The following is a 26,947-nucleotide window of genomic DNA, read 5'->3' on the forward strand; positions in this document are numbered from 1 at the left end:
TGGACAATGGGATCAATTCATTACGGTATAAATATATATGTATGTGTATAAAATTTGTCATATTCTGGACAATGCATCCTGTTACTTCCCCCCCAACCCCAGCCCCCTCAATATCTGTGGACAGAAGTTCCAGGTGTAAGTAATATACCCGTTTAATATGCAGATGAAAAATTATATGTTATTCCTGAAATAATAAGTGTAACCAATATATGAGCTATCACAAGGTGGCATAAACTGAATACAGTATTCTAAATCCAATCTTGTATAGGGATTATTGCACAATGCATAATATATTACTTGACATGTCTTTCTCTGTCCACCTATCTGACTTTGGGTTGATTTGAGAACGATCTTAGCCAAAAAAAAATTGTAAACCAAGTATATGATACGTCAAAGAAGAGTACTGGAAAAACACAGAACACAAATTATGTATTTACTTACCTTCCTTTGCTTTTTTATGTTCAAGTCTTTCTTTTTGCAAGGATTTCTCTAATCTTGATCTGTGTTCATATACAACTGGAAAAAAAGTTAACATTTTTGTCTTCAAAGAATTAGAAATTTAAAACTAAAATTAACATCAATTTTTAAAACAGGAAGAAAACAGTGTAGAGTCTTTACACAATTTAAATAAAAACATATGTGTTTTAAGTTCCCCTTTCCAGGTAAAGAACAGACATACTAATAGGCATTATTCTGGGCTGGCTCCCATCCAGCCTGCCCTTTTCTAAAGCCAGTACTCTGAATGATGCTTCCACCTTCTTTGCCAGCTCCATTTCCTTCTAGGCCTCTTAAATGCAAGTGTCTTTTTGAGATCTTTTTCCTCCTGTCTTCCTGGGCAACCTTGCTCAATCTCCTGACTTTTAACCATCATCTGCAAAGCAGTTACCCCCACATCTACACTTCCACCTCTGGCTTCTCTCTGACTCTAGAAGGGTATTTTCTCCTAAATATTCCATAAGTACTACAAAGTCAACATGATCTGCATCTGAATTAAGGCTGCCTGGATCCATAAGGAGACCTCAGCAGCATACCACTGGAATGAAAGAGGAGGTGTATCTCCTCCCTCCTCCCACGTCAAGGAAAACAGACTAGAGAAGCACAGAAATAGAGAAGGAAGGGACTCTCCAAAGAATTTATAAAAGGGTCCACAAAAGAACTAGTCAGGTTCACCATCAGCCACAGCCAGAAGAAACCAGCGGCAAACCGATGTTCGGTTCTGTAAGACCTTTCTGCCCTTTATCCTCCCTCCCCACCCAGTCTACTCTGAAGAATCCAGAGTCGCCTGGTGAGCAGGGGAGGAAGAGCAGACATGTCTGGCAGACAACAAGGGAGAAGAGGCATACCACAACACTCCTTCCCACTGCAGGCTCCACACCTACAGCAAGCAGAAGCTGGACAGGAGGGAGAAGCCTTACCTTTGAATTAACTGTCCTGGACTAGACCAGACATAACAATTAATGAACCAAGACTGTGTGTTTATGAATACAAGTTTTGAACTATTTTTTGCTTTTAATCTGAGAGAAGTTAGTGAAGCAAACAAGTTTGTCTAAGATTTCATCCAGGAACAGAAAACTCAGCTCCACAAAATGGTTTGAATAGGCACCGAGGGAGAGAACAGAGTAAATTAAAATTCTGATCTACCCTTTGAATCCTGTTTGTTCAGCATTATGGTCAAATATGATCTCATTCTTGGCAGGCTAAGCCAAACGTGTTACTCCATTCTTTGGCCAGTCACAAGCTCCCCGTGACTACATACAATTTAAGCATCAATCACTGGTTGACCATATACAATTCACAGAACAGCCCCAACACTACTGGCTGCTGCCAAAGTCATCAGGGTCCCAGAAAACTCCCTTTCCCCATCCCTGCAGCAATCCCTTGCTGCTTAAGGGATTCCCTGCCTCTCTTCTTGCCCTTTCTCCATTGTTATGATGGCCAACAACCACCATTGTCCTCTTTTCAGGTTGGCCATCATCTCCTGCGTTCTATAGCTTCTCCCCACACTGTGTCTTTTCTTGTCATCCCATATAAAACTTCCATTCTCAGGACTCCATCTACTATCACGATAGACCCTACCTCTATTCACACCTCTGCTAACATCTCCGTCTCTAACTCCTAGAATGCCTGTGACCACTCAAATTTGTATGGTGTGGTCCTCTGATGACATGCATACCCCAATCTCAACTTTTCCCTCATCCGTAGGCAGTCATTGCAATAATCCCTGCCCCATCCCCTTCCTCTACCAGGGTTCCTTTTCCATTCACCAGATGATCCTTTCCCCCTGCATTATTATTATAAAGGAATTCAATATAACTCTATATCTATGGCATCTCTACCATGTACCTGGACAGAAGTGTAAAACTGGGATAAAAATAGTTGTGTTCCAAAAAGTTTGGTTCCAAGTCCACTGCTAAAAAGTAATTTTTTTTCAAACATATACATGTATGGAGTGTAAGCCCCTTGGACAATTACTAAAATCCTTTCAAAACTAAGAGGTTCCTTGGATTACTACTAATAGCCCCATCTTAAATTAAGTTTGGAATAAAGAAAGGAAAGTGTAAGATTAGCCCTATAGAACATCACGAAGCCAGGCCCTGAACTGTGCACTCACAGTCTTTGAGAATTTCACTGAGGTGGGGGAAACATATAGGGAAAGAGCTAAATTACAATACTATCATGATAAAACAGAGGCAAGAATAGGATGCTCAGGAACACGTAAGCTCCCCAGCTGGAAGGAAAAACACTCCCTTCACCGCCAATCCACTGGCCAAAGTTCTCACCGTCTGGGTAGAAAGTTATAAGGGCATAAATATGCCAGTTAAAAGTGAATCTGATTGCACTAATGGACATATTATAGACTGAATTTCAGCAATCATGCAAAACTTTCAAAGAAAGGAACAGGTGAACTATCCAAGATCCTACAGCAGCAAAGTCCCCAGTATAGGCGGAAACAATTCTAACCTAGCAACACCTATAATAATAATAATAATAATAATAATAATAATAATAATAATAATAATAAAACCTAGCAGCATAGTCAAGAAAAACATACAAGGCAGACTGTTCATCACCCACCCCAGTCACCTCAGACTAAATATTAAACATTATTGTAGAAGGTCAAGGATAGAGGGGAAAAAAGCTGAATTTACAAATTACAATCTGGTGGAATTGCTGTTTACTTAATACAATGCAGCAGCAATCAGGGTAAACTCACTTTTGCAAACTTAATATTGTGTGGTACCAGATAATCAGGTCATAATTATCTTTGGCTTAGGAAGGACAGAACTCATCAGCATGATTTCATCTTCAGTAAGAGAATGGAGGCTCTGCTAGATGAAACCAAGTAGAGAGGGAGTGTGGGGGATATGGGTGAAGAGTGCTGGGTGCAGGATGGTATTCCATTCTTTATTCTCTTCCCTTGGATTCAGTCAGGAAGATAATACCCTGACAGCTGGCCCAAAGTACCCATTTATCAAACTGAATCATACAACTGTCTTTGACAGTTCCACACTAAATGGAAATTTACATATTTGACATATTAACAGCAGTGTGTCTCAAGAGCCAGGAGATCATAGGACACAGTTATAAACTTTCATAAATAACCTGAATAAATCCCATAAAATGTCCACAGAAAGGCAAGCGTGTTTGCGAATTATTGTTAAAATTCAAAGGTCTTAGAAAAGCTGAGAAATACTCATGATTACATGCATGGCATCATAATAGCAAACTGTTAACGCAAGAAGAATGTATTTTTGCAAATACAGGAGAAAAAAGATGTGGCAAACAGGAATAGAGTATATATATGTAGAAACTATGAGGTAATTGTGCTATTAATACTATCTTACTCAGAACTGGACAAGCCGTCGTTATAACAGCAGCTTCTAATCCTGATGTAATGTAACTTAAGAATTCAGAAATGGTTTGAAGGCTGGAGAATATCACCGAGGAGGAGGAGGGTGAAAGAATGGAGCAGCGGTGACGGATGGAGACATGGAGAAGGGTTGTTCTTCACCAGGCTCAAGAAAAGAATAAAGGAAAACAAACTGAAAAAGGCTCAAACTATAGGCTGAAGAAACCACATCAGGTAAAGGGAAGTCAGAGTGAAAACTGGCCCTTCGAACTGAAAAATCTAGAAAGAAGAGGAGGAGAGGGAGAGAGGCAGGTGCTAATATAAGGGCTGAAGACACAGCCTTGATGCCTGGGTTAAAATCCCAGCTTCATTTCTCATGAGGTGAGCTGCTGAACTTCTGTGAACTTCAGTTTCCTTGTACGGTTTGTGGGGATAATAATAGATGTATCTCTTTGGCTGAATGTCAGAGTTAAATGAGTTCATATATATCAAGTGCTTAGAATACTGCCTGGCACAGAGTAAACACTATTAAAATGCTTAAATAGCTTAAAAGTGCCAGAGAAAAAAATCAGGCGATCTCCCCTGAGCCCTTCCAACCCTACAGTTAAAGTCTAATAACAAAGTAATCATATGTATGTGTATATGCATATATGTGCATATATATATATATACACATACACACACTCTCTCACACACACACTCTCTCTCACACACACAGATGTATACACACACATATATCTGACTTAAAAAGGCAATGACATTGGTCTCAGTTTTCTTTTACTTAAAAAATTTCTTTAAATAAAAGAAAAAGCAAATAATAATTCCATATGTTATTTAAACCCTTAAGTTTTTGAAAATAAAAACGGAAAGACAGTAGAACAGACCATATAGAATTTCTGTGCTTGTACCTCTTTTAGAAAACTTCACTATTAAGCACATACACACACATACGCACTACCTTTCTTTCTTTTACCATGCATTCTCCAGGCTTTTGAGCTGTGATTTATCTAGCTAGGTTTACTGTTTCACTTAGAATGAGGATAGCTAATCAATCCTTGTCACCTATCTCTATTTTTCTATTTATACTCTGAAGTCAAGGGCATCAGTCAAGATGAACTAATGCTGCTAAAATCTCTGCAACAAAAAGCTATATATTGAATATTCTCATAGCACCAAACAAGTTTAAGGAAAAATAAGTATGAAAATAATGGTTCAATCTCAGCAGTCAAGATCTTTAATGCAGAATAACACTGCAACAGGAATAGGATTTGAATCCAAGAACTCAGGAGAAAAAGATGAAAATCCATAATACTCATCTCATCTCCTGCTTACTTAAAAGGGGTTTAATATTTTCCATGCAACCAGGAATGGAAAGAGGTTCTATTCCCCCCAAAAGCACTCAGGAGTTTAAAAACGTGCCAGCTTCCTACAGCAATTTTCCATTTTAACTCTGACTTCCATTTGAAAGTCACACGAGAAATCAGCTGTATACATTCACTTATGGGCAAAATGCATATCTATGCAATTTCAAGGCAAACTGCTCCAATTCATAATCAGAAAGCAACACTCCAAAATTAGGCAGAAAACACTGCTAAGTGTTTTGACATCTTAAACCAAGAGAGGGCAATGTTTCTTTGGCAGAAGAAATAGCCTGTGAAATTTTGTTTTTGGTCCCGACTATAACATAATGTTTTATTTTTAAAAAACAAACAACAAACAACAGAAGCTTGGTATGAAAGTCACACAATTCAACTTGTGAAAACATTGAGATTTGCAAGTACCTCTATCTTCTTATATATAAAACAAAAATTAAAATGAACAAAGTATGCTTTTGATAATTGTGATTGAAGAATGTTTAAGCTTAATACTAAGAAAGATGACACAAAAAGGAGAATAAATTGAAATTAATATACGTCTCAGACTTCAATACTTTTGAGGGTTTCTTTGGGGCTAATGTCATAGAAATTAAGAGCCTTTATGTGACAGTTTTTGGTTGTAATTCTAAATCACCAGAGGTGGGGTGGAAGCCAGCCACCTGCCCATCCCATTCCTCCATAAAAGAACAAGTTGATGGGTCAACACAAAGTCAACATCATGCATTCTTTCAATTACTTTTCCTTCCTTCTTCCATAATTTTACCTTACAAGAAGTCTAAGACAGAATACTGGAGATCTCCTAGAAAACAACCCCCATAAAAGAAAGAAATAAAAAGAAAAAGGAGGTGGACCACTATTACCATTTTAAGGCTGACACAGGACTCTCCCTCCAGTGCCCAGAAGTAGGGAAGGACATCGCTAGGGCACAGACTTTGGTTCCTCCTCTCGTTTCCTTCAAAAACGTCTCCTCAGAGTTCTGCATCCATCTTCAAAATTTAACTACAACCTCTCACAGATGACTCCCAAACCATGAAACCCAGATTTTACTTCTCACTCAATTCCAGTTTCATTCCTTCAATAAAATTCAATCTTTTGAGTCTGCTTCATAATTTATGGCTGAATTTAATTTTTAATAAGCCCTTTCCCACACATTCAAGGCCCAGGCCTGGGGGGGCAAAACCTCCCAGTGGCTTCTCACCACATCGGGAGTGAAACCCCACAAGGCCCTCACAGGGCCTTACCCCATCGTTCATCCTGCCCGACCCCAGCAGCCTCTCTGTTAGGCTTGAACATGCCAGGCACACTTTCCCCTCAGCCCCTCCTACTGCCTTTCCTTGAGCCTCACTGCTCTTGCTCCAGGTATCTGAGCAACTAGCTCCCTTACTTCCTTCAGATCCTCACTAGAAAGATGCGTTCACACCCAGAACATCCTGTCTAAAATTGCAACTAGCTTTCTGCCCTCAATACTTCGTCTCCTTTCCTACATTATTTTTCTCTTTAGTGCTGATCATCATGCTTTGTTTTTACTTATTAATTAAACATAATTTATTAATTATAAAATAATAATTTTTATTACTGTTATAAATAAGTAAAATAATAATTTTTACTTATTAATTCCCTGTCTATCACAAAAGAACAGAACCTCGATTGAGGGCGAGAATTTCTGAATTACTTTATCTCATTATCGTATCCCTGTGATATGCTTTGGCTGTGTCCCCACCCAAATCTCATCTTGAATTCTCACATGTGGTGGGAGGGACCCAGTGGGAGATAATTTAATCATGGGGCAGGTTTTTCCTGTACTGTTCTCATGAGAGTGAATAAGTCTCATGAGATCTGATGGTTTTAAAAAGGGGAGTTTCCCTGCGCAAATTCTCTTCTTTTGTCTGCTGCCATGTGAGACGTAACTTTCACCTTCCGCCATGATTGTAAGGCCTCCCAAGCCATGTGGAACTGTAAGTCCAATAAACTGCTTTCTTTTGTAAATTGCCCAGTCTGGAGTATGTTTTTTTCAGCAGCATGAAAACAAACTAACACAGTAAATTGGTACCAGTAGAGTGGGGTGCTGCTGAAAAGATACCCAAAAATGTAGAAATGACTTTGGAACTGGGTAACAAGCAGAGGCTGTAACAGCTTGGAGGCTCAGAAGAAGACAGAAAGATGTGGGACAGTTTGGAACTCCCTAGAGACTTGCTGAATGGCTTTAAGCAAAATGCTGATAATGATATGGACACTGAAATCCAGTCTGAGCTGGTCTCAAATGGAGATGAGAAACTTGTTGGCAACTGGAGCAAAGGTGGCTTCTGTTATATTTTAGCAAAGAGACTGACGGCATTTTGCTTCTGACCTAGAGATCTGTGGAACTTTGAACTTGAGAAAGATGATTTAGGGATCTGGTGGAAGAAATTTCTAAGCAGCAAAGCATTCAAGAGGTGACTCAGGGCCGGGCGCGGTGGCTCACGCCTGTAATCCCAGCACTTTGGGAGGCCGAGGTGGAGGGATCATGAGGTCAGGAGATCAAGACCATCCTGGCTAACATGGTAAAACCCCGTCTCTACTAAAAATACAAAAAAAACATTAGCTGGGCGTGATGGCAGGTACCTGTAGTCCCAGCTACTCGGGAGGCTGAGGCAGGAGAATGGTGTGAACCCAGGAGGCGGAGCTTGCAGTGAGCAGAGATCATGCCACTGCACTCCAGCCTGGGCGACAGAGCAAGACTCTGTCTCAAAAAAAAAAAAAAAAGAGGTGACTCAGGTGCTGTTAAAGGCATTCAGTATTAAAAGGGAAGCAGAGCATAAAAGTTCAGAAAATTTGCAGCCTGATGAATGTGACAGAAAAGAAAATCCCATTTTCTGAAAAGAAATCCAAGCTGGCTGCAGAAATTTGCGTAAGTAACTAGGAGCCAAATGTTAACGACCAAGACAATTCGGAAAATGTCTCCAGGGCATGTCAGAGGTCTTCACAGCAGCCCCTCCTATCACAGGCCCAGAGGCCTAGGAGGAAAAAGTGGTTTCATGGGCCAGGCCCAGGGTCCCTGTGCTGTGTGCATCCTAGGGACTTGGTGCCCTGTGTCCCAGATGCTCCAGCCATGGCTGAAAGGCACCAACATAGAGCTTGGGCTATGGCTTCAGAAGGTGCAAGTCCCAAGCCTTGGCAGCTTCCACACGGTGCTGAGCCTGTGGGTGCACAGAAGTCAAGAATTGAGGTTTGGGAACCTCCACCTAGATTTCAGAAGATGTATGGAAATGCCTGGATGCCCAGGCAGAAGTTTGCTCAGGGGGAGGGCACTCATGGAGAACCTCTGCTAGGTCAGTGTGGAAGAGAAATGTGGAGTTGGAGCTCCCAAACAGAGTCCCTACTGGGGAGAAGGGGGCCACTGTCCTCTGGACCCCAGAATGGCAGATCCACTAACAGCTTGCACCATGCACCTGGAAAAGCCACAGACACTCAACACGAGCCCATGAAAGCAGCTGGGAGGGAGGCTGTACCCTGCAAAGCCAAAGGGGCGGAGCTGCCCAAGACCATGTGAACCCACCTCTTGCATCAGCATGACCTGGATATGAGACATGGAATCAAAGGAGATAGTTCCAGAGCTTTAAGGTTTGACTGTCCTGCTGGATTTTGGTCTTGCGTGGGGCCCCCAGCCCTTGTGTTTTGGCCAATTTCTCCTATTTGGAATGACTGTATTTACTCAATGCTTGTACCCTCATTGTATCTAGGAAGTAATTAACTTGCTTTTGATTTTACAACTTCATAAACAGAAAGGACTTGCCTTGTCTCAGATAAGACTTTGGACTGTGGACTTTTGAGTTAATGCTGAAATGAGATAAGACTTTGGGGGACTGTCGGGAAAGCATAATTGGTTTTGAAATGTGAGGGCATGAGATGTGGGAGGGGTCAGGGGTGGAATGATATGGTTTGGCTGTGTCCCCCACCCAAATCTCATCTTGAATTCCCATATGTTGAGGGGGGGACCCGGTGGGAGGTAACCAAATCATGTGGCAGGTCTTTCCTGTGCTGTTCTCATGACGGTGAATAAGTCTAACGAGAGCTGATGGTTTTAAAAAAAGGAGTTTCCCTGCACAAGTTCTCCTGTCTGCTGCCATGTGAGACATGCCTTTCACCTTCCACCATGATTGTGAGGACTTCCCAGACTTGTGGAACTGTAAGTCCAATAAACCTCTTTCTTTTGTAAACTGCCCAGTCTTGGGTATGTCTTTATCAGCAGCATGAAAATGAAATAATACACCCTGGTACACTGAATTGTAGTCATGTATTAGTCTATTCTCATACTGCTATACAGATACTACCTGAGACTGGGTAACTTATGAACAAAAGAGGTTTAACTGACTCACAGTTCCGCATGGCTAGGGAGGCCTCAGGAAATTTACAATCATGGTGGAAGATGAAGGGGAAGCAAGGCACCTCTTACAAGGGGCAAGTGCCACTTTTAAACCATCAGATCTTGTAAGAACTCCCTCACTATTACGAGAACAGCATGGGGAAACCACCCCCATGATCCACTCACCTCCCACCAGGTCCCTCCCTCGACACATGGGGATTACAATTCTAGATGAGATTTGGGTGGGGACACAGAGCAAGGCATTCAATAGATACTTCTTGAATAAATTAATGAGTGAGTGAGTGAAGTAATGAACAACTAAGTACCTTGAAGGTTGGGACTAGCCACCTTTTTCCTTTTCATCTATATCCTAGCCCCTCACTACCACTTCAGTCTCAATCCCTCAGTTCCTAATATCTAGTGATATTCGACAGCACTTGTTCAATGATTGAATGCACTTGGAAGAGATTTCATTCTCTTCCACCTTTCCCTGCCATCTTCTATGCCCCAGCACTTTAACTAAATTCCCAAATATGTAGGCTCATTAGTACCACATGTCCCAGAAAAGAGATAGATAACAGAATAGAGATTAAATTTATATGTTGGTGTGTAGGCTCACACTATTAGCATTAGTTAAATAATAGTCCTGAAATACGGACACTTTCAGAATGCTGAGAAAAAAAAGAACATTCAGATTAACTATTTTTTTACTGCCTGGCAATTGCAGTATTTTTTTACTGTACAATAAAGTTACTGTAATAGTTCACACAAGTGTCCATTTTTAAGTTTGCTAATGCATACGGTTTGTAAAGTAGCTTATATGGAAATTTTAACCATGACTTGAATTGGTGCTTAACTGCCTTTTCTTTTGTGGATAAAACTATACCCAGGCTTTTCCTCATGCCACTAATTGAGATTTGGCTTTTTCAAATAAGTATTATATGAGCTGACTTAACATACATTTCTTCATGCTGTTCTTTTTGGCATTCTTTCAAGTGCTGAGCTACTAATAATCATTCTCATTATCAGATGAAGTCTATTCACTTCTCATGAAAGGATTCTTCTCTTAGCTGCCCTGAGCTATTATGTTATAACCCAGCAATGGCCTAGGCACCTCGGGAAACACCAAAGTATAGGAGTTACTCTTATACAAAAGCTTATAACAAATAAATACACGTTGTGAGAAGAGGCTAAGACAGGTAAAACATAAGACAATTAGAGATCACCAAAGGTTAGCCAGGCTAGGATGACATAATGAACTGCTGAGTCAGCAGATTCTTAAACAGAATCTCTTTGAGAGCTGAGAGGAATAATATCCTCCTCTTCCATAAAAAGGCTGCACTCTACAAAGCAAATACTATATTCTCAAAGACATGTATAAGTGTATATACATATATATTGGAAACTTAAGGACTCACAGTAATAGAAATAAAAGTTATTCTAAAATTAGATATCTATAAATAGAACCTGTATAGTACTATTCCTCTTATCTAGCAATCAGATTGCAGCTGGACAGCATCATAGTATTTCAGAAAATTATGCACAAGAGAAAAAGAGAGGCAGAGGGGAAGCGAGAGAAGAGGGGGTTGTTTCTTGCTCCCAAAATTGATGCAAACATGTGTAAGAATGCCCTTAAGATGGATAAAATATGCAAAAGCACACTGCTCTTAAAATGCAACTATGAATAGTTTTCAAAATTGATGTGCTTGAAACAAACCTAAAAGACATCTAATTTCCATAAGTTGTCTGATTTTTTAATAGGAACTTGCCTTTACGGACGCTGCAAGTAATGCTAGCAAAAAGGAAACAACCTAAAATCCAATACTCAAGTATTAACCCCTAAAAGTTTTATGTCATATTGCAGAGAATACCCTCAACTAGGTTGGAATGCACCTAACTACCACTGTCTTCTCCTTCAAATCAATGTAGCAGTACACACAAGTTAACTCACCTTCATTCAAACTTCCAATTTCAAGTTCTACTTCAAAATTAAAATATGCAACATATCTTGGAAAAGGTTCATAAAAGTAAGTCTTGTAAAAAGATGCTATTTAAGATCTCTTAGTCTTATTTAAGGTTACTACTGCATCCCAAATATTTCATTCAACAAATCAAACAAATATTAATTGGGCCCCTACTATATGCCAAGCACTGTTCAGATATATGGGGACATACTGTAAGTAAAACATAAAAAACAATTTGCCTTTAGGAGGATTTTATTCTCACAGAGAGATATAGATGATAAATAATAAATAGAATAAATAATATGCTAGCAGGTAATTATTGCTAAAGAAGTAGAGTAAAAGAGATCGAAAGAGACTGGAGGCGTGGGGAGAATGGGCCAGGCTGCATTTTAAAATAGAGTGATGAGGGCAGGCCTCACTGAGAAGGATATTTCAGTGGGGACATGTGAGACAAGACTTGAAAGACTGAAGGGGTCAGTCAGTACTACAGATATCTAGGGGGAGACTCTTCCAAAATAGAGGGAGTAACCCATAGGAAAGCTGTACAGTGCAAGCACACTGGGATGTCCTCAGAGAAACAGGCAGTCTAGAGTGACTGAGGCAGGGTGAGCCCGGAAAGTCAAAGCATAAGGGAAGGGGAAGGGGCAGAGTGCAATGGTCACAGAGCCCACTGAGAACTTGGGATTTTACTCTTGGAGAAATTGGGAACCATTAGAGAGTTTTTTTTTTTTTTCTTAGAGATGGGGTCTCACTATGTTGCCTAGGCTGGACATGAACTCTTAGGCTTTAGCCTCAGCCTCCCAAGTAGGTGGGACTACAGGTGCATACCACCATGCCAGCTCCAGTGCAGAGATCTGAGCAGAAATGATGTTGACTTAGGTTTTAAATATTGATCCCTCTAGTCAGACTGCATGGGTACAAGATGCAAGCAGGGAAACTAGTTCTGCAGTAATTGAGGCATGAGGGTAATGGAAGAAGAGGACCAGTGTGCGTGCTGTGGAGGCCATATAATATTCAGATTCTACATTTATACTCAAGATCAAACTACTGCATGTTATCAGCTGAGATGGGGAAGGCCAATGACATCATAGTTTTGTGAGGAAGATCAGAAGTAAGATATGATTATAGAGTGATGTGCTCAGCCTGGAAGAGTCCAGTTAGACTCCCAGAGGTTACATTTGATTGGGTGTTGACAGATGACAATGCAGGAAGGATAGAGAAAAATCCAGACAGTGGATAGGGAATGTGTGGGAACAATGAAACAAAATCAAAAATAATCCGCGGTATTCCTCAAACTTTCCTAAAATAAGAATGTGGAGTGCTTGTTACTAGCACAGATTCCCAGGGCCCAACTCAAATCTACTGAATCCGAATTTACTGGCAATCTGAAAGTTTAGTAAGAGTGCCTCACCCACTCCCCATGAGCTTTTCTAGGGGAGTTTTGTCAATACTATGTTTAGCATAGGATTGATGGAAAGGTGGATAATAACAGCAGGGAAGAATGAATGAGATAGGGCTAAAAAGAACTTCATCACATCTGCATGATTGTAAAATTAACTTTGTATGTGTAGAAGATAGAGCATCTGAGAAAGAGTAGAGGTTAATGGATTCATTAGCAGGTCATCGCAGCAACCTAAAAAAAGTATGATGGAGGTTAAACTTACATATTGTTTGAATATAACATGACCTTCAGTTTTGCCAATAAAGCAAGCATATTAAAGAGTTGATTTTTTTTTTGCCAAATATACAAGATTTTAGAGAAGCAAAAAAAAAAAATGGGGCAAAGAATAGGAACAGCCACTTAAATATATCCTACTGGCCACGAAATATATGAAAAAGTGCTCAACTAAATTAGTTATCAGGGAAATGCAAATTATAATCATAGTGCAGTACTACCATTCTCCCATCAAAACAGCTAATATAGAAAAAGACACAAAATACCAATAGTTGGCAAGAATGTGGAGGAAGGAACTCTTCTACTTTGCTAATGGATGTGAAAAAGGTACAACCATTTTAGAAAACTGATAGTGTTAACTAAAGCTGATGAAGGCATATCCTAAGACCTATAAATCCCACTCCTAGGTATGTACCCAACCCAGTACTTGACATTTATTCACCAAAAGTCATATAGGAGAGTTTTAATTGCAGCATTACTCATAACAGCCCCAAACTGAAACCACATCTATCATAGTAGAACGGATAAGCTGTGGTTGTTCAAAATGCAAAATATCATTCAGCAATGTGAACAAACTAAATAATTCATAGATGAATTTCACAAACATAATATGAGGAAAGGAGCCAGACAGCAAAGTGGTACTTACTGAATGATTACATTTATAAAAAGTTCAAAAACAGGCACGAGTGAAACTAATCTCTGATGATAGAAGACAAGATACTATTCACACTGTGCACATGGGGGCAGCGGTCGGGCAATAACTGGAAGAGAGTAAGAGGGAGCATTTTTGAGTGCCAGTGATGTTCTGATTCTCATGCTGGTGGTGTTCTGATTCTTGGTCTGAGAGCTGGCTACACTGTTTGCTTTGTGAAAATTCATTGAGCTGTTTACTTATGATTCGTGTACTTTTGTGAATGTATAATTCAATAACATTTACCAAAAATTTACAGACTGTATGAAAGAGCTACCTGTTTATATCACATCATGCATTTGTTATTTTTAGTTACATAAATAAAATAGTGAAATATGCAAGAAATTTACATATGTCACTTTTTTTCTACATCCACATCTCCCAAAACACTTTGGTCCAAACTCTACACATGCATGTCTGACATCTGTGTCTGTGTCAACTCAAGTTAGGTTTTTAGCTTCTGACAGTTTTCCCAAGCATAGCCATCATCACCCGAGGTAAAGCATTAGTGGAATCTCTGTCTGGTGCCATCACTGGAAATCTTGTCCTAAGCCTCAGATAGGATTTGGTAAAAATCAGGATAGTTGCCATTTCCATTTGTAATGTAGGAACACATTCATGCTTTCTATATCCCTAATTTGAATGTATTGGGGCTTTTTTTTTTTTTAGTGGAAAGGTTTGTTTATAAAGATACTTTGCATTTACAACTGTGAGGACACATTCCTAAGAATAAATTCCTACACTATTTTCAAAGCTGCCATACCCTTTTTTAAAAAGATTTTGTCAGGTGCCCTCCATAATACCTAACCGCATTAAACAGGGTCATGTGGGGCTAATGTGTCTTCCTCACAAATGCTCTATTTAAAATAAAGCCTTGGAGAAAGCACCCAGTAATAGCAGAGGCTTTGCATTGACTCCACCTCAAGACTCCCTCTTCTCTGAGGAGTAATTTTGCAGGAAAAGGGGAACCTCACCTCATATTCAGGCACACGTGGTAATCATTGACAGAGGGCGAGGAATGCACTGAAGCAAACTATATTTAGGAAATAGAATCAAAATGCCTGAGAGATTGATTCAAAGTGTACTATGAAAGTAGCTCTAAGGATGGTGCCGGTATTTCCGGCTTAGCTACTGTATAAAATGTGGATCCAGCTCCAAGGCGGAGGGAGTGAGAGTCCACCGTGCCTTCCATTTTAGATATGTCTAATGCTTGATAGAGTTATCAAGATCAAAACAGAAGCTTAGATCATTTAATCTAAGAAGCAAGTTGCTGGTAGCTAGAGGTCACAGCTGGAATCCTGCTTCCACCACCACCTGCATGTCTAAGGCCTAACACAAGTTCTCCTCCAAAATAACCCCTGCCCACCCACCACTGCCACCTCTAACTCTTCCTAGAATTGTATTTCCCAACACCACCAAACTACTTAACTTCTTACATTTGCCACTGAGGAAACTTAAAAAGATGTTACTCCTAAAGACCATGAAGACAAAGTCAACACTGGGGATAAGGTCAACACTAGACATCTAAAATCTGCTTCCCCAGTTTGACTAGAATTCTTAGTGATATCCTACACTTTCTTTTCACTTTCAGATACTTCAAGCTCTCCTTTGGGATGAAAGTGAAAGTATACTTTTTTTAAGATTTTATTTTTTTAATAGCACTTTTAGGTTCATAGCAAAATTGAAAGAAAGGTACAGAGATTTCCCCATATACTTCCTTTCTTCATACTGGCTACAGAAAATGAATATTTTCCTGATGTGCTATGAAGAATACATGTGACTCTGAATAGGGTATCTTCCCCACTGAGATATTGGGCATTGCCTGATTTGGGGGAAGAGGGAATATTTTAATCACTATCACTGCATAGCATGTAAAAGCCTTCAAGAGTAGAAGGCTGAGATCACTGGGTGAGACCCTCAAAGGTCAAATATAAGAGTTATCCTTTCTTCATCCTTTAAGAAAGGGCAGGGGAGTGGGGGAGGGGGGTGGGAGAGCATCAGGAAGCATAGCTAATGGATACTGGACTTAATGCCCAGGTGATGAGTTGATCTGTGCAGCAAACCACCATGGCACACGTTTACCCATGTAACAAACCTGCACATCCTGCACATGTACCCCCGAGCCTAAAAGTTGAAGGAAAAAAAAAGAAGCGGCATAGTATTTATGGGACTGTGGGTTTTAGGTGGATAGCAGGATACTTCTGAGGATGATGTGACATAAAGAGGATTTGGAGGATTTTGTGAAAGTTTATTCTGGCAAGCAGGCCTTGAGATACTTCCACTATACCACCCTGCATCATAATATCACCCAAGATGGTAAAGGTGAGATTGGCATTTGCCTTCACCATGGTCCCAGGAGGCTTCCCCAGGCAGTGTGGATGTCCCTGGATGTCCAGTTTAAATATCCTATGGGATATTCTCCCACAGGCCATAGGCATATCTCTGTCCACAGTCTTTTTATAATACTTTAGGTAGAGATTTGTCACTCCCACTACTACACTGTGGGGCTACTTATGAGAAATTCAGCTTCTTTATGATCTGCAAATTGTCATCTCGAGTCTGGTACAATGTGGTTACCTGCTGAATGTTTGTTAAATGACTGAATTACACAAACAAATAAATCCAAGACAGCACATATTAACAGTGTACTTTTCCTATCAATTATTTCATGAAATTTACATAAGAAAAGTGTTAATGGTTACATACCAAGATAAACTTTTGAGTCCGTTATAAGAAGAGTTGAATTTGATAGCCTGACTTACACCAATATATGCATAGGAATTCATTGGCAACCTCTAAGTTTTTACATGAAAATCAGAGAATACATCTGTACTGTTTAACAAAATACTTGGGGATTTTTTTTTTTTTTTTAAGAGACAGGGTCTCGCTACGTTGCCCAGGCTGGTCTCAAACTCCTGGCCTGAAATGATCCTCCCACCTCGCCCTCCTGAGTCGCTGGGACTACAGGCAAAATCCATGCCTGGCTTCATGAGAAATTTTTAAAGAAGCACAGTAAAATCAATAAACAGTCCAGATCTGTGGAAAGGTGCATGACTGGATGCTAAAGAAAACAAAGAAAAAGAAATCTTTGATGATACATATAAGTATTCTAATTAGACGTCCAGATTTTTCTTTTCAACCTTATTCATAGAATTTAGATTAAAGCTACCGAATATAACTTAAATAGGACTGAGATGGTTTATCCCAGAAGGGAAAAAAAAAAAGGAGAGAAAAAAAGACAAAGAGAAACAGATGGTGCCAAGAGATAATTTAATGAGGATTTTTCAAGTAGTTTGGGGAAAATAACACAGGCCTAAGAACCCTGACCTCCTGGCTGCCTGACACTAACAAATTCACTGTTCACAACTAAGAAACTTCACCTTCTTTTTCCTCAGTAATAAAATGAAGCTGTTGTAGAGTTAAGTCACCAATGTCCTCCTGATGTTAAAATTCTGTGATTTTAAATATTCATGTTTATAGTAAAGGAGAAGAGTAGTGGCATCAGCTATACATAATTCATTTTAAATTGGTTTTGAATACTCTCAGTGACTTAAGTTTAAGTAAGAGAGGAAAGATTCAGTTTAGCACAATGCTAAGAAAGGTTCTGATTTTTCAGGAAAAGCCTTTTGGCAAAAGAAGACTATTTTTTATCTGTCACCTATGATTTTCAATAACTTGAAAAATATTATACATAAACTAAGACCCTGCCCCATGCTTAAGGTGTCCTACAGTGAGGCTCTCTTTTTCTGTATGTATGACTGTGTAAAATGCGAACACATTATCCTTTTCTGACACTGAATAAATAATAAGGCAGTAAATGCATACAACTGCCACTCTAATTGCAAATGGGTCTAATGAGATGCTTGCTTGGTTTTCCTTGTCTTGTATATGACTTTCCATTCACTTTTCCCATAATAACTCTTCCACATACTGGGAAATAAACAAGCATATTTGGTGGACAACCTGGACACAGAGGTGGAAGAATCCAACCTTTAGGTTCCTCCATGGACTCAGCAGAGCTCTGCATGTCTGCTTGCATGTTTCTGTAAACAACATGTCATAGAAAAACTGGCCAGAGGCAAGGGGTCCAGAGATCTGGTTTAATTTTTAATCTGAAAAGTATTTCATAACTAATATTTCATCATTAGTAAAATAAAAGAGCTTATCAACTGATTTCTAAAGCCTCTTTCTGCTCTAACATCCTCTGATTCTCTGATCTGGTTTAGAAGACAAGGATACAGAATCAGAATTGTGAGTGACCTGAATAAATGTTTAAGATCTTAGAACATAATAGTGATGTTCAGAAAGAATACTGACCTGACTAGACAGAAGGACTCAGCAGGGATACAAAAGAAGACAAGAAGAGAAGGGGTAACATCTTTTTAGCTGAAGGACTTATGGCCCTTGATTAGGGCCGAAGGGCTTAAGATCTTTTTTTTTTTCTGCAAAGTATCTGAAAATGATTAAAATTATTTTGACAGCTGCAAGTAATTGGGAAGTAGGTGAAAACAGGAAGTTCAGGCACAGAATAACCTCACTAGTTCCAGATTCCACCAATAATTCAGTGTTCATAGTAATTTCAACATGAGTAGCTGATGTTTATTATTATATTACATATTCATTTTCAAGCAATAGAGAATAAAACTATAACTATCCTTTTCAAGTAAGACCCATTAGAATAGTAGACATTTTACCTTTATTTGCTGTTATTTTTTCATTGACAAAATGTAAATAAGAACTTCTCAGGGAGAACAGTTATTCCACTAAAGATCTTGGTTCTATCTTTTATCACCTTGCAGATAACCTGTCACTATGAGGTAAAGTATACTTGTAGATGAGTGTTCATATATTCAGAAAAAAAGTGTCCTTTAATACCTACTTTAGTATCAATCATAACAAACTATACTTTTATAGTCCTTTACAGTTTATATACAAATAACTTATACATCCAATTCACATGTACTTTGTCGGTGAACAAGTGAGGTGCTGATTTAAAATTACTAGTATCTATTCATTAGAAGATCTAGTGACCTTTTTGTAGCCTTAGTTTATCTTACATGCACAATGCTTAAAATGCATTAACTTACAAAACATTAAACTTTTTTGGTGATTTAGTATGGTCTTCTTTCAATGTTCTGAATTTCTGAAGAGTTATTTCATAAGAAAAATAAATCACTTAACATGGTAGTTCTTGTGAGTGTGATTCAAGACAGTAGGATAAACACACTAGTATCTTGAAATTTACTTTTAAATCCTTTATACAACCTATCCTCCTACCCTCCATAAACCTGCATTAATAAAAGTAACTAAGATAATTAAGACAGTTTTTAGTCAGTATTCATGCTTAGTTCTTTCACTTTTGCTTTAGAATCTTGAAAACACACTGGGTAAATTTTTTGTTTAAAAATTTAAAGTGCCCACTATTAAATGCCACTCCTAATGAGCATAATTTTGTGACTACTTTATTAGTTATTCAATGATGGAATAAAAACTACCATACTTACAACTAGTCCATCTCTTCCATACCACAAATTTATGAATGAAGAATACTAGCCCTTGACTCAAAGCAACAAACTTAGGAATACACATTAAGCAGCTATCTAAATGGATACATAATTAGCAGTATATGTAGGCAAACAAAAAATAGAGAGGTTATTAGCTTTTCCTCAGGGGCCACCAAACACACACGCACACACACACACCACAATACAAAAAGAGCAAAAACCAACAAAAACTCTTCTGATCTAAAAGTAGTTGCCTTTAATTAAAAAAAAAAAAACACACACACACACAAAACTATCTTTTTACAAAAAAAAATACATGAGATAGAACGGCGTATTTTATTCTGTGTATTTTGTTTTTCATTGTTTATTTAAAAATCAATATTTTTCTAAACTGAAACACACTAAATGTTATAGTAGAGTTAATAAAAGTAATTATAGGAAATATAAATGAATGAATGAATAAATGAATGAACGTAGTTGCCAAAGTACGGACAGAAGCCAGCAAATCATCCCCATATTAAATGCATCAGAGAATACAACACAGCCATTCGAAAAATAAAAACAAGGCCAGGATTCATTAAAAATTCCCATAAGGCAGAAAGAACAACAACCCTGTATTATCGATATGCAAAATATACCTGATATTTATTGTGTGGGGCAGAAAGTATTTCCATCATCTTTTCTTTCAGAGTTTTTTTTAATGAATCTGAACAGAAACAAAATATAACCAGAGTATATTAATATTTTCTGGGCTGGTGTTTCACTAGGAATATACAAAATAATTTTACACATTTTTAACTTCAGAACTCAAAAATTAAAAAATGCTAGGAGCTTAATTTCTCATTCTGAATTTAAATTAATGTATACAATATCACTATATATTTGATGAAAATATATATGTGATACTACTGCACTACAGAATTAAAATAACTTTCACAAGATTTCAACAAAACATAGATTAGTAAGTAATCTATGTAAGATAAAACAAATATTGAAAATTCATGGATGCATTTTTCTGTTAGGCTTCCATTCCCTATTGTGACGAAAATAACTGAAAGCAAACCAACACAAAAATCACTGTGACAAATACTGCTCATTCAACACTTTGTGTAAGAAAATAAAATTAAAAAAAAAATCTCTTAAAATGTGGCTTCTGAATAGTCACATTATTTAAAGCAATTTTTTTCTGAATTTTAAAAAACAGGTATGCAACTTACTGTTTATACGTCAACTTCTTGCAGGATAAAAATATGTTTAAAAACAATTTGTTCTTTTTTTCTGCATATCCAGTAAGATACCGCAATGTTAACTTAAGGATAGTTTTTTTTTAATACTAAAAAGGGAAGTTTCATATCTGTTCATCTATTTTTTTCTTATTTCTCTAAAATTTAAAATGGAAATAAGAATACATAAAAAGCAAAACAAAACAACTTAGATTTTAAAAAAGAGTTGCATACCCATTTGCCATTGATTCTGTAAATAAAGAATAAACACTAAAATTTTATAGAGATTCCTTTGTCAATTGTGAATGCCTTATTTTACCTCTTAAAACTTTTCTGCACTTTAATTTATTTTATTTTATTTTATTTTTTTTTTTTTTTTGAGACAGAGTTTCACTCTTGTTGCCCAGGCTGAAGCTCAATGGCACGATCTCGGCTCACCGCAACCTCTACCTGCCGGGTTCAAGCGATTCTCCTGCCTCAGCCTCCTGAGTAGCTGGGATTACAGGAGAATGCCACCATGTCCGACTAATTTTTGTATTATTAGTAGAGATGGGGTTTCACCATGTTGGCTAGGCTGGTCTTGAAATCCTGATGGTGATCTGCTCACCTCGGCCTCTCAAACTGCTGGGATTACAGGTGTGAGCCACCATGCCCGGCCTGCACTTTTAAAATTGCTACACAAACTATTTTTTTAAGTTTATATCATATCAATTAATATGCTGATTTTCTTTTCACTAAATGATGCTCATTTAAAATAAATGGAGTTTTATTTCACACTCAATTTTTGGAAGAAAGCGAAAGATAAAAATGTACTCATATGGCCGGAACATTGCTAGGTCCAAGGGACAATACACATTTAGTTGAATCTTCCTATCTGATCTGTATTGCCAGTACTGGAAGAGAACTGATGTTTCCAATGATGAACATTTTTACCAATGAAGTCAAGCAATTAATACAGTTTGAAATGCTTTTCAATAATATAATTTGAAACAAGAAGTTTCTTTAATTGATTTTCCTTCATTTTTCTAGGAAAAAAATTAGCAGAGATTTCAATAAAAACTCAAATTCAGTGGAATGATTTAAATACAGAGACCAGAAGCCATATGGGTAGAGAAGGTAATAAGCTTTCTATTTAACATTGCCACCTAAATTCACCAGAATATTTCATTTCCTGACTATTCCACTTAATTGAGTTTTGCTGCTTTGATGTTCTGTCTTTGAATAAAATGAATTAACTATGGAAACAGCAGCCTTTCAAAGAGCATTCAAAATATACTGCATAAGAGAAATAAAAATGCCTGTTAAAAATATCTTGTAATATGCTAAACTAAATTTCCTTAAAGGAAATCTTAAAAGCGGATCATTAGTGATTTATGTCACTTCTATTTTTATTTCCTTAGTGTTACATAAAATCATTAATATAGTTAATTTTCAACTATGAAGTCTTTGTATAGAAAGATGGTGCTACTAATTCACCATTAGTAAGGTAAATACTCTAACTTGTTTTCCTAGAAGTTGTAACTTACCATTACACACATAACTCCAGAAACATAATCCTTACTTTACTAGGCAACGACAAAGGCCAAGTAGCTAGGTAACTTACCAAAGGTCATCCAGGTATTTAACTATAAAATCCAGGCCTGGTGCAGTGGCTCATGCCTGTAATCCCAGCACTTTGGGAGGCCTAGGTGGGCGGATCACGAGGTCAGGAGATGGAGACCATCCTGGCTAACATGGTGAAACCCCATTTCTACTACAAATACAAAAAATTAGACTGGCGTGGTGGCACGCACCTGTAGTCCTAGCTACTCAGGAGGCTAAGGCAGGAGAATCACTTGAACCCGGGAGGCAGAGGTTGCAGTAAGCCGAGATTGCACCACTGCACTCCAGCCTGGGCAACAGAGCGAGACTCCGTCTCAAAAACAAAACAAACAAACAAACAAAAAATCCAAATTTTATAGACCTGAACTCAGGTCTACACCATTCCAAATTGGGAAAATACATAGTTTCTTCATCTTCCTGAGATGGGTGTTCACACTGTGGCATCATTAAAGTCTCTAAAGTAATTTTCTATCTGGTGAAACACAGACTCAAAGGTAAAGTAAAATTATACATTATAAAACCCAAATGAATTGTTTTTACTATTCTCTTCCAATAATACAATTAATCAATAATTGCCAATGGTTTCAACCCATGGAAACTACCTTAATTTTCATTAAGGTTATTAAAGAAGTTCAAACAAAAAAGAAAGAAATATTAAATTCTGTGAACTTTCTAGAAGAGGGTTGTTGCTTTTTAGCTTGAAAGGGAAAGGTTATTTATTCAATGTAATGCCTTTGTGATTAAAGATCAAATCCATATCTTAAAAAACAAGTCAGAGGTGAGTTCCTCAACTTCTATACCTTTAATAATAAGTTCGCTCTTCTTTGTTAGTGGGGGTTTTCTACTCTAACTTGCTAAATCTATTCTAAGATTAGTCCTTTTTAATTCAAAGGTGATAGCTTTTTTGTCTATTCTACAAGCCAGTGGCTGGAAATTCACAGTCAAACTGGACCCAGAGAATAGTACCTGGGGCACACTGATTACAGCAGTCACCTGAGCCTGGGAGGGAGGATATCAGTGGCACAGGCTCAAGCATGACTTAATGAAGGCTTCCAGCTCGCATCCCATCGTCAGTGATTTTTAACCTCTTGGCATGCATGGAGGAAAGGGGAGTCATGCTAAAGTAGAGAGAAAACTGAATTTTGAGTCAACAGATTTGCATTCAAGTTCCTTCTATCTTTTACTACCTTGTCACTTTGGACACATAACCTTTCTTAGCCTCATTTTTTTAAATCCATAATGTTAAATTAAGGGCCTAATTCAGTGCATGGCACATAACAGATAATGAATTTCAGCTGAATTTAAAAGAAGACAAGGACAGAATCTTAGCACTGCTCTCTAGGCAGGAATGATGAATGAATACAATAAATATAACATTAAGAAGAGAGCAACCTGGAGTGAAGAAGCTGGCTGTCATGGCAAGTTCTTGATGATAGGTGGAAACTGTCCCCCACTTTCCCCGGCGCCCCCCTACCTCCAGGAAAAGCAAGGAAACATGGCAACAGAAAGAGGGCCAAACTGAAAAGAGATTTTCTGGGGCAAACCAGACAATCTAGTAGGCCAGGGAGATGACCCATTTTTGCTTGATGACTAAAAGAGAATGCCGACTTCACTGATTTTGCTACTGAATGAGTCACAAGGGTGGGTAACTTGAGAAAGTATGTGAGGGAGTGGAAAAATGTAGGTAATTCATGGATGCTGTAGAACTTACTTTAATTAAAAAATTCCTTACTCTGAATGTTTTGTTAACTTTAAGTATCCACAGTAACTGATACATCCCCCTATGAAACTCCCATCATCTTACTCTTTTCAAAGGCTGAAACGCCTGTGACGGAGTTTCCCTGTTGTGAACTCCAGGCAGGGAGTGAAATACAACATAGCACTTAAATCTGCTTCTGGGCGTCAAATCTCGGAAGGATACCTAGAGAAAAAGTTTAATTTTATGGCCAGTCTTGGACTCTGGATTTCCCATAGGGCCAAATTCTGGTACCACTCTGTGGTGAAACTCAACGTGGATCACGCCCCAAATTGCACTGATGATCTGAGGAAACAAAAGTGCCTGCAGGAGTGGTCTTGGGCCAGCCCTACATTGCAGGAGATATACTGTGACATTTCTATGAAACTGGTATTCATTACGGATGCTGTTCACCAAGGCATTTGTCACTGGTCACTCAGTGATGGGGTGGGAAGTCAATTCAACCTGGTGAATGACTGGGGAAGGAAACAGACTGCCAAGTAACATCCTAGCCTTTAACATATTCATTGACTTTGTATACCAACTTTGTAAAGAAGATGTGATTTAAAAAAAAAAAAAAAAAGGTTCTGAAAGATTCAACAACTTGCCTGAGGACATAAAACTAAAACTTGGCAGAGCTATGAGGCATTCTGACTCCAAAGCCAACTACAGTATATTGAACAGAGGCAAAAAGTTCAACAGAAAACTTAAGTAAAATAACACTCTGTTAAGAAAAGTTGTTAAAAGCATAGGGGAATATCAGACAGATGTAAAAATGGGCCATAAATAGCTAGACTAAAAATAAAACCTCCCTAAAACTTAATTGAAAAGAAAACTTTTTGGAGGGGGTGGGTGTCTTTTATATTCTTTTTATATATAATTTTATCCAGGTTGGTTATTTGGCTTTCAAGTCCACAGAAAAATTAGATGAAGCAACTTTAATGAGAGGAAGGCAGAATTATTACAGTAAGAAGCTAACAACAGCAAATAATACTATAAAAAACAATCACTACTCAGAGAACTTATTCTAAAGACACACTGATCTAGAGCTATTTAATGTATGAGCAAACTGCTCTATATATGATGATCATATGTAATGAAACACAGTTTCATGTATTTTTAGTCATTTCAGTGAGGTGGTTGTTAAAAATATATGATTAAATAATTTACCATTTCTATAATACTTACGTAGACCAGGCTTCCTAATTTTTTTGTTGTTGCTAAAAAAATATGGTTGCCTTCTTTCTTATATTCTGAGGATGTTAAAAGGAACACAGTATTCCAGGACAAAATAATAACTGCACTAACCCTAAAATATCAAGAAGGCATTCTACTGTGTAGCCTTCTCCAAGTTTCACACTTCCCCAGCCTTGCAATTTTACTTGTTCTCATATGATCCGTATCATAGTCTGCCATTCCTTACCAATAGGACTTCTTGACGGTAGGGACCGTGTCTTCTTTGTGTTTGTAACTTCAGAGTATCTAGCATAGTGCCTTTCTATATAAGATAAACCAGTAAATATGAGTTAAAGTAATAACATTCATGTTTAGTAAACTCTTTTAGAATACAGGAATGCATGTGGAAACACAGCCATATAAAATGTCTAAAATAAAACTTCTGGGGCTTGAAAAGGCCAACTATTTTATCCATTTATCAAATAATTGATTACCTACTATATTTCAGGCACTGTTTTAAGTTCAAGGATTAGAATAGTGGGCATGGACATGAAATACCAGTTTTTGTATTAAAGGTCCTTACAATCGCATGGTGGAAGACAGACAAACAAGATATATAATAAACAAGGAAATACAAAATGAGATTTCAGCTAATAAGTGCAAATATGAAAATAATGTAGGATAATGGGATAGACAGTACTTGGGTGGATGGACTATTATCATTTTTCTGCTTATATAGGGTATTTTCTTATACACAAAGGAAGAGGTATAACTTCTATAGATTGTTCAGAGGTGAAAACATAGAAGGCATCGGCTTCTTAAAAGCAGCTGTGAGATCTCCAGGGATGGCAGGGCTACTGTAGGAGCTAACCTTCCAGATTGTCCCCAGTGACCTCTAGCACCTGGTACTCACATCCTGTGTACTCCCCTTCTACATGGTACCATAATGGGGCTGGCTGACTAACAGCCTATGTCCCAAGTGGTGTTATGTCACCACCAAGATGAGGTTATAAAAAAGTCTGTGGCTTCCATGTTGGGCTCCTCCTGTCTGGGATTCCTCATTCTGTGGGAAGCCAGCTGCCATGTTATGAGGACATGTAGGCAACCCGAGGAGGGGCGCACACAGAGAGAAACAGGTATCTGGACAACAGTGAGGAACAGCCACGTGAATGAGCTTGGGAGTGGATCCTCCCTGGAGACTGCAGCTTGATTACAACTTCCTGAGAAACCTAGGACTAGAACCATCCAGATAAGCTGCTTCTGGATTCATGACTCTCAGGAAACTGTGTGAAATATGAAGTGTTTATGTTTGTTGATTTAAGGTGCTAGGTTTTTGGAGTTATTTGTTACATGACAAATAACTAGTCAACTTTTCAGGAAAAAGCCTTTCTAAATAGTTGAAATCTGAGCAGAGGCCTGAATAAAGAGGAACCAGTGATGAACAGACATCAAGGAAGTACATTCCAGACAAAAATAAGGGCAGTTATAAAGATCATGAGAAAGGCGTGAGCTTGAGAACAGCTAAAAAGCCCACATCACAGCAATCTTGTTACAGAAGTATAACAAAGTAGTAAGAGAAGAGTTAAAATTTCCTTCAAAGAGAGATGGGAAGTAACATTACTTAATTTATATGTTACAAAGAATCATCTTTGTAACCTACTGGGCTACTATGTGGAAGATTGGGGTGAAAGCAGGAAAACCAAGTGACAACCTACTACATTAGTGAAGCCAAGAGATATAGCTGTCATATCTAGTAACGCAGACAAGGACATTAGAAATATTACAACTTGGGAAGATCCTAGATATGTA

At 38.2% G+C, this 26,947-nt stretch overlaps 1 protein-coding gene across 5 annotated transcripts in view, besides 1 other annotated feature; it reads right to left on the reverse strand.

Annotated features, from left to right (window-relative positions):
• Positions 1-26,947, reverse strand: part of GOLIM4 (golgi integral membrane protein 4) — an 87,236-nt gene that overhangs the window by 39,161 nt on the left and 21,128 nt on the right. For all 5 annotated transcript variants that reach the window (NM_001308155.2, XM_005247365.4, NM_014498.5 and 2 more), the window contains exon 2: positions 442-516. In NM_001308155.2, coding sequence (NP_001295084.1) covers positions 442-516 — 75 coding nt within the window. The remainder of the gene's footprint in view (positions 1-441; positions 517-26,947) is intronic.
• Positions 13,876-13,925: an enhancer, noted in NCBI's record as "active region_20773". NCBI's record gives its function as "activates an Ori minimal core promoter by ATAC-STARR-seq in GM12878 lymphoblastoid cells {active_cell/tissue: GM12878}" and the evidence as "EXISTENCE:reporter gene assay evidence [ECO:0000049][PMID:35858748]".

This window comes from Homo sapiens, chromosome 3 (assembly GCF_000001405.40).
Source record: "Homo sapiens chromosome 3, GRCh38.p14 Primary Assembly".
NCBI classification, from domain to species: Eukaryota; Metazoa; Chordata; class Mammalia; order Primates; family Hominidae; genus Homo; species Homo sapiens.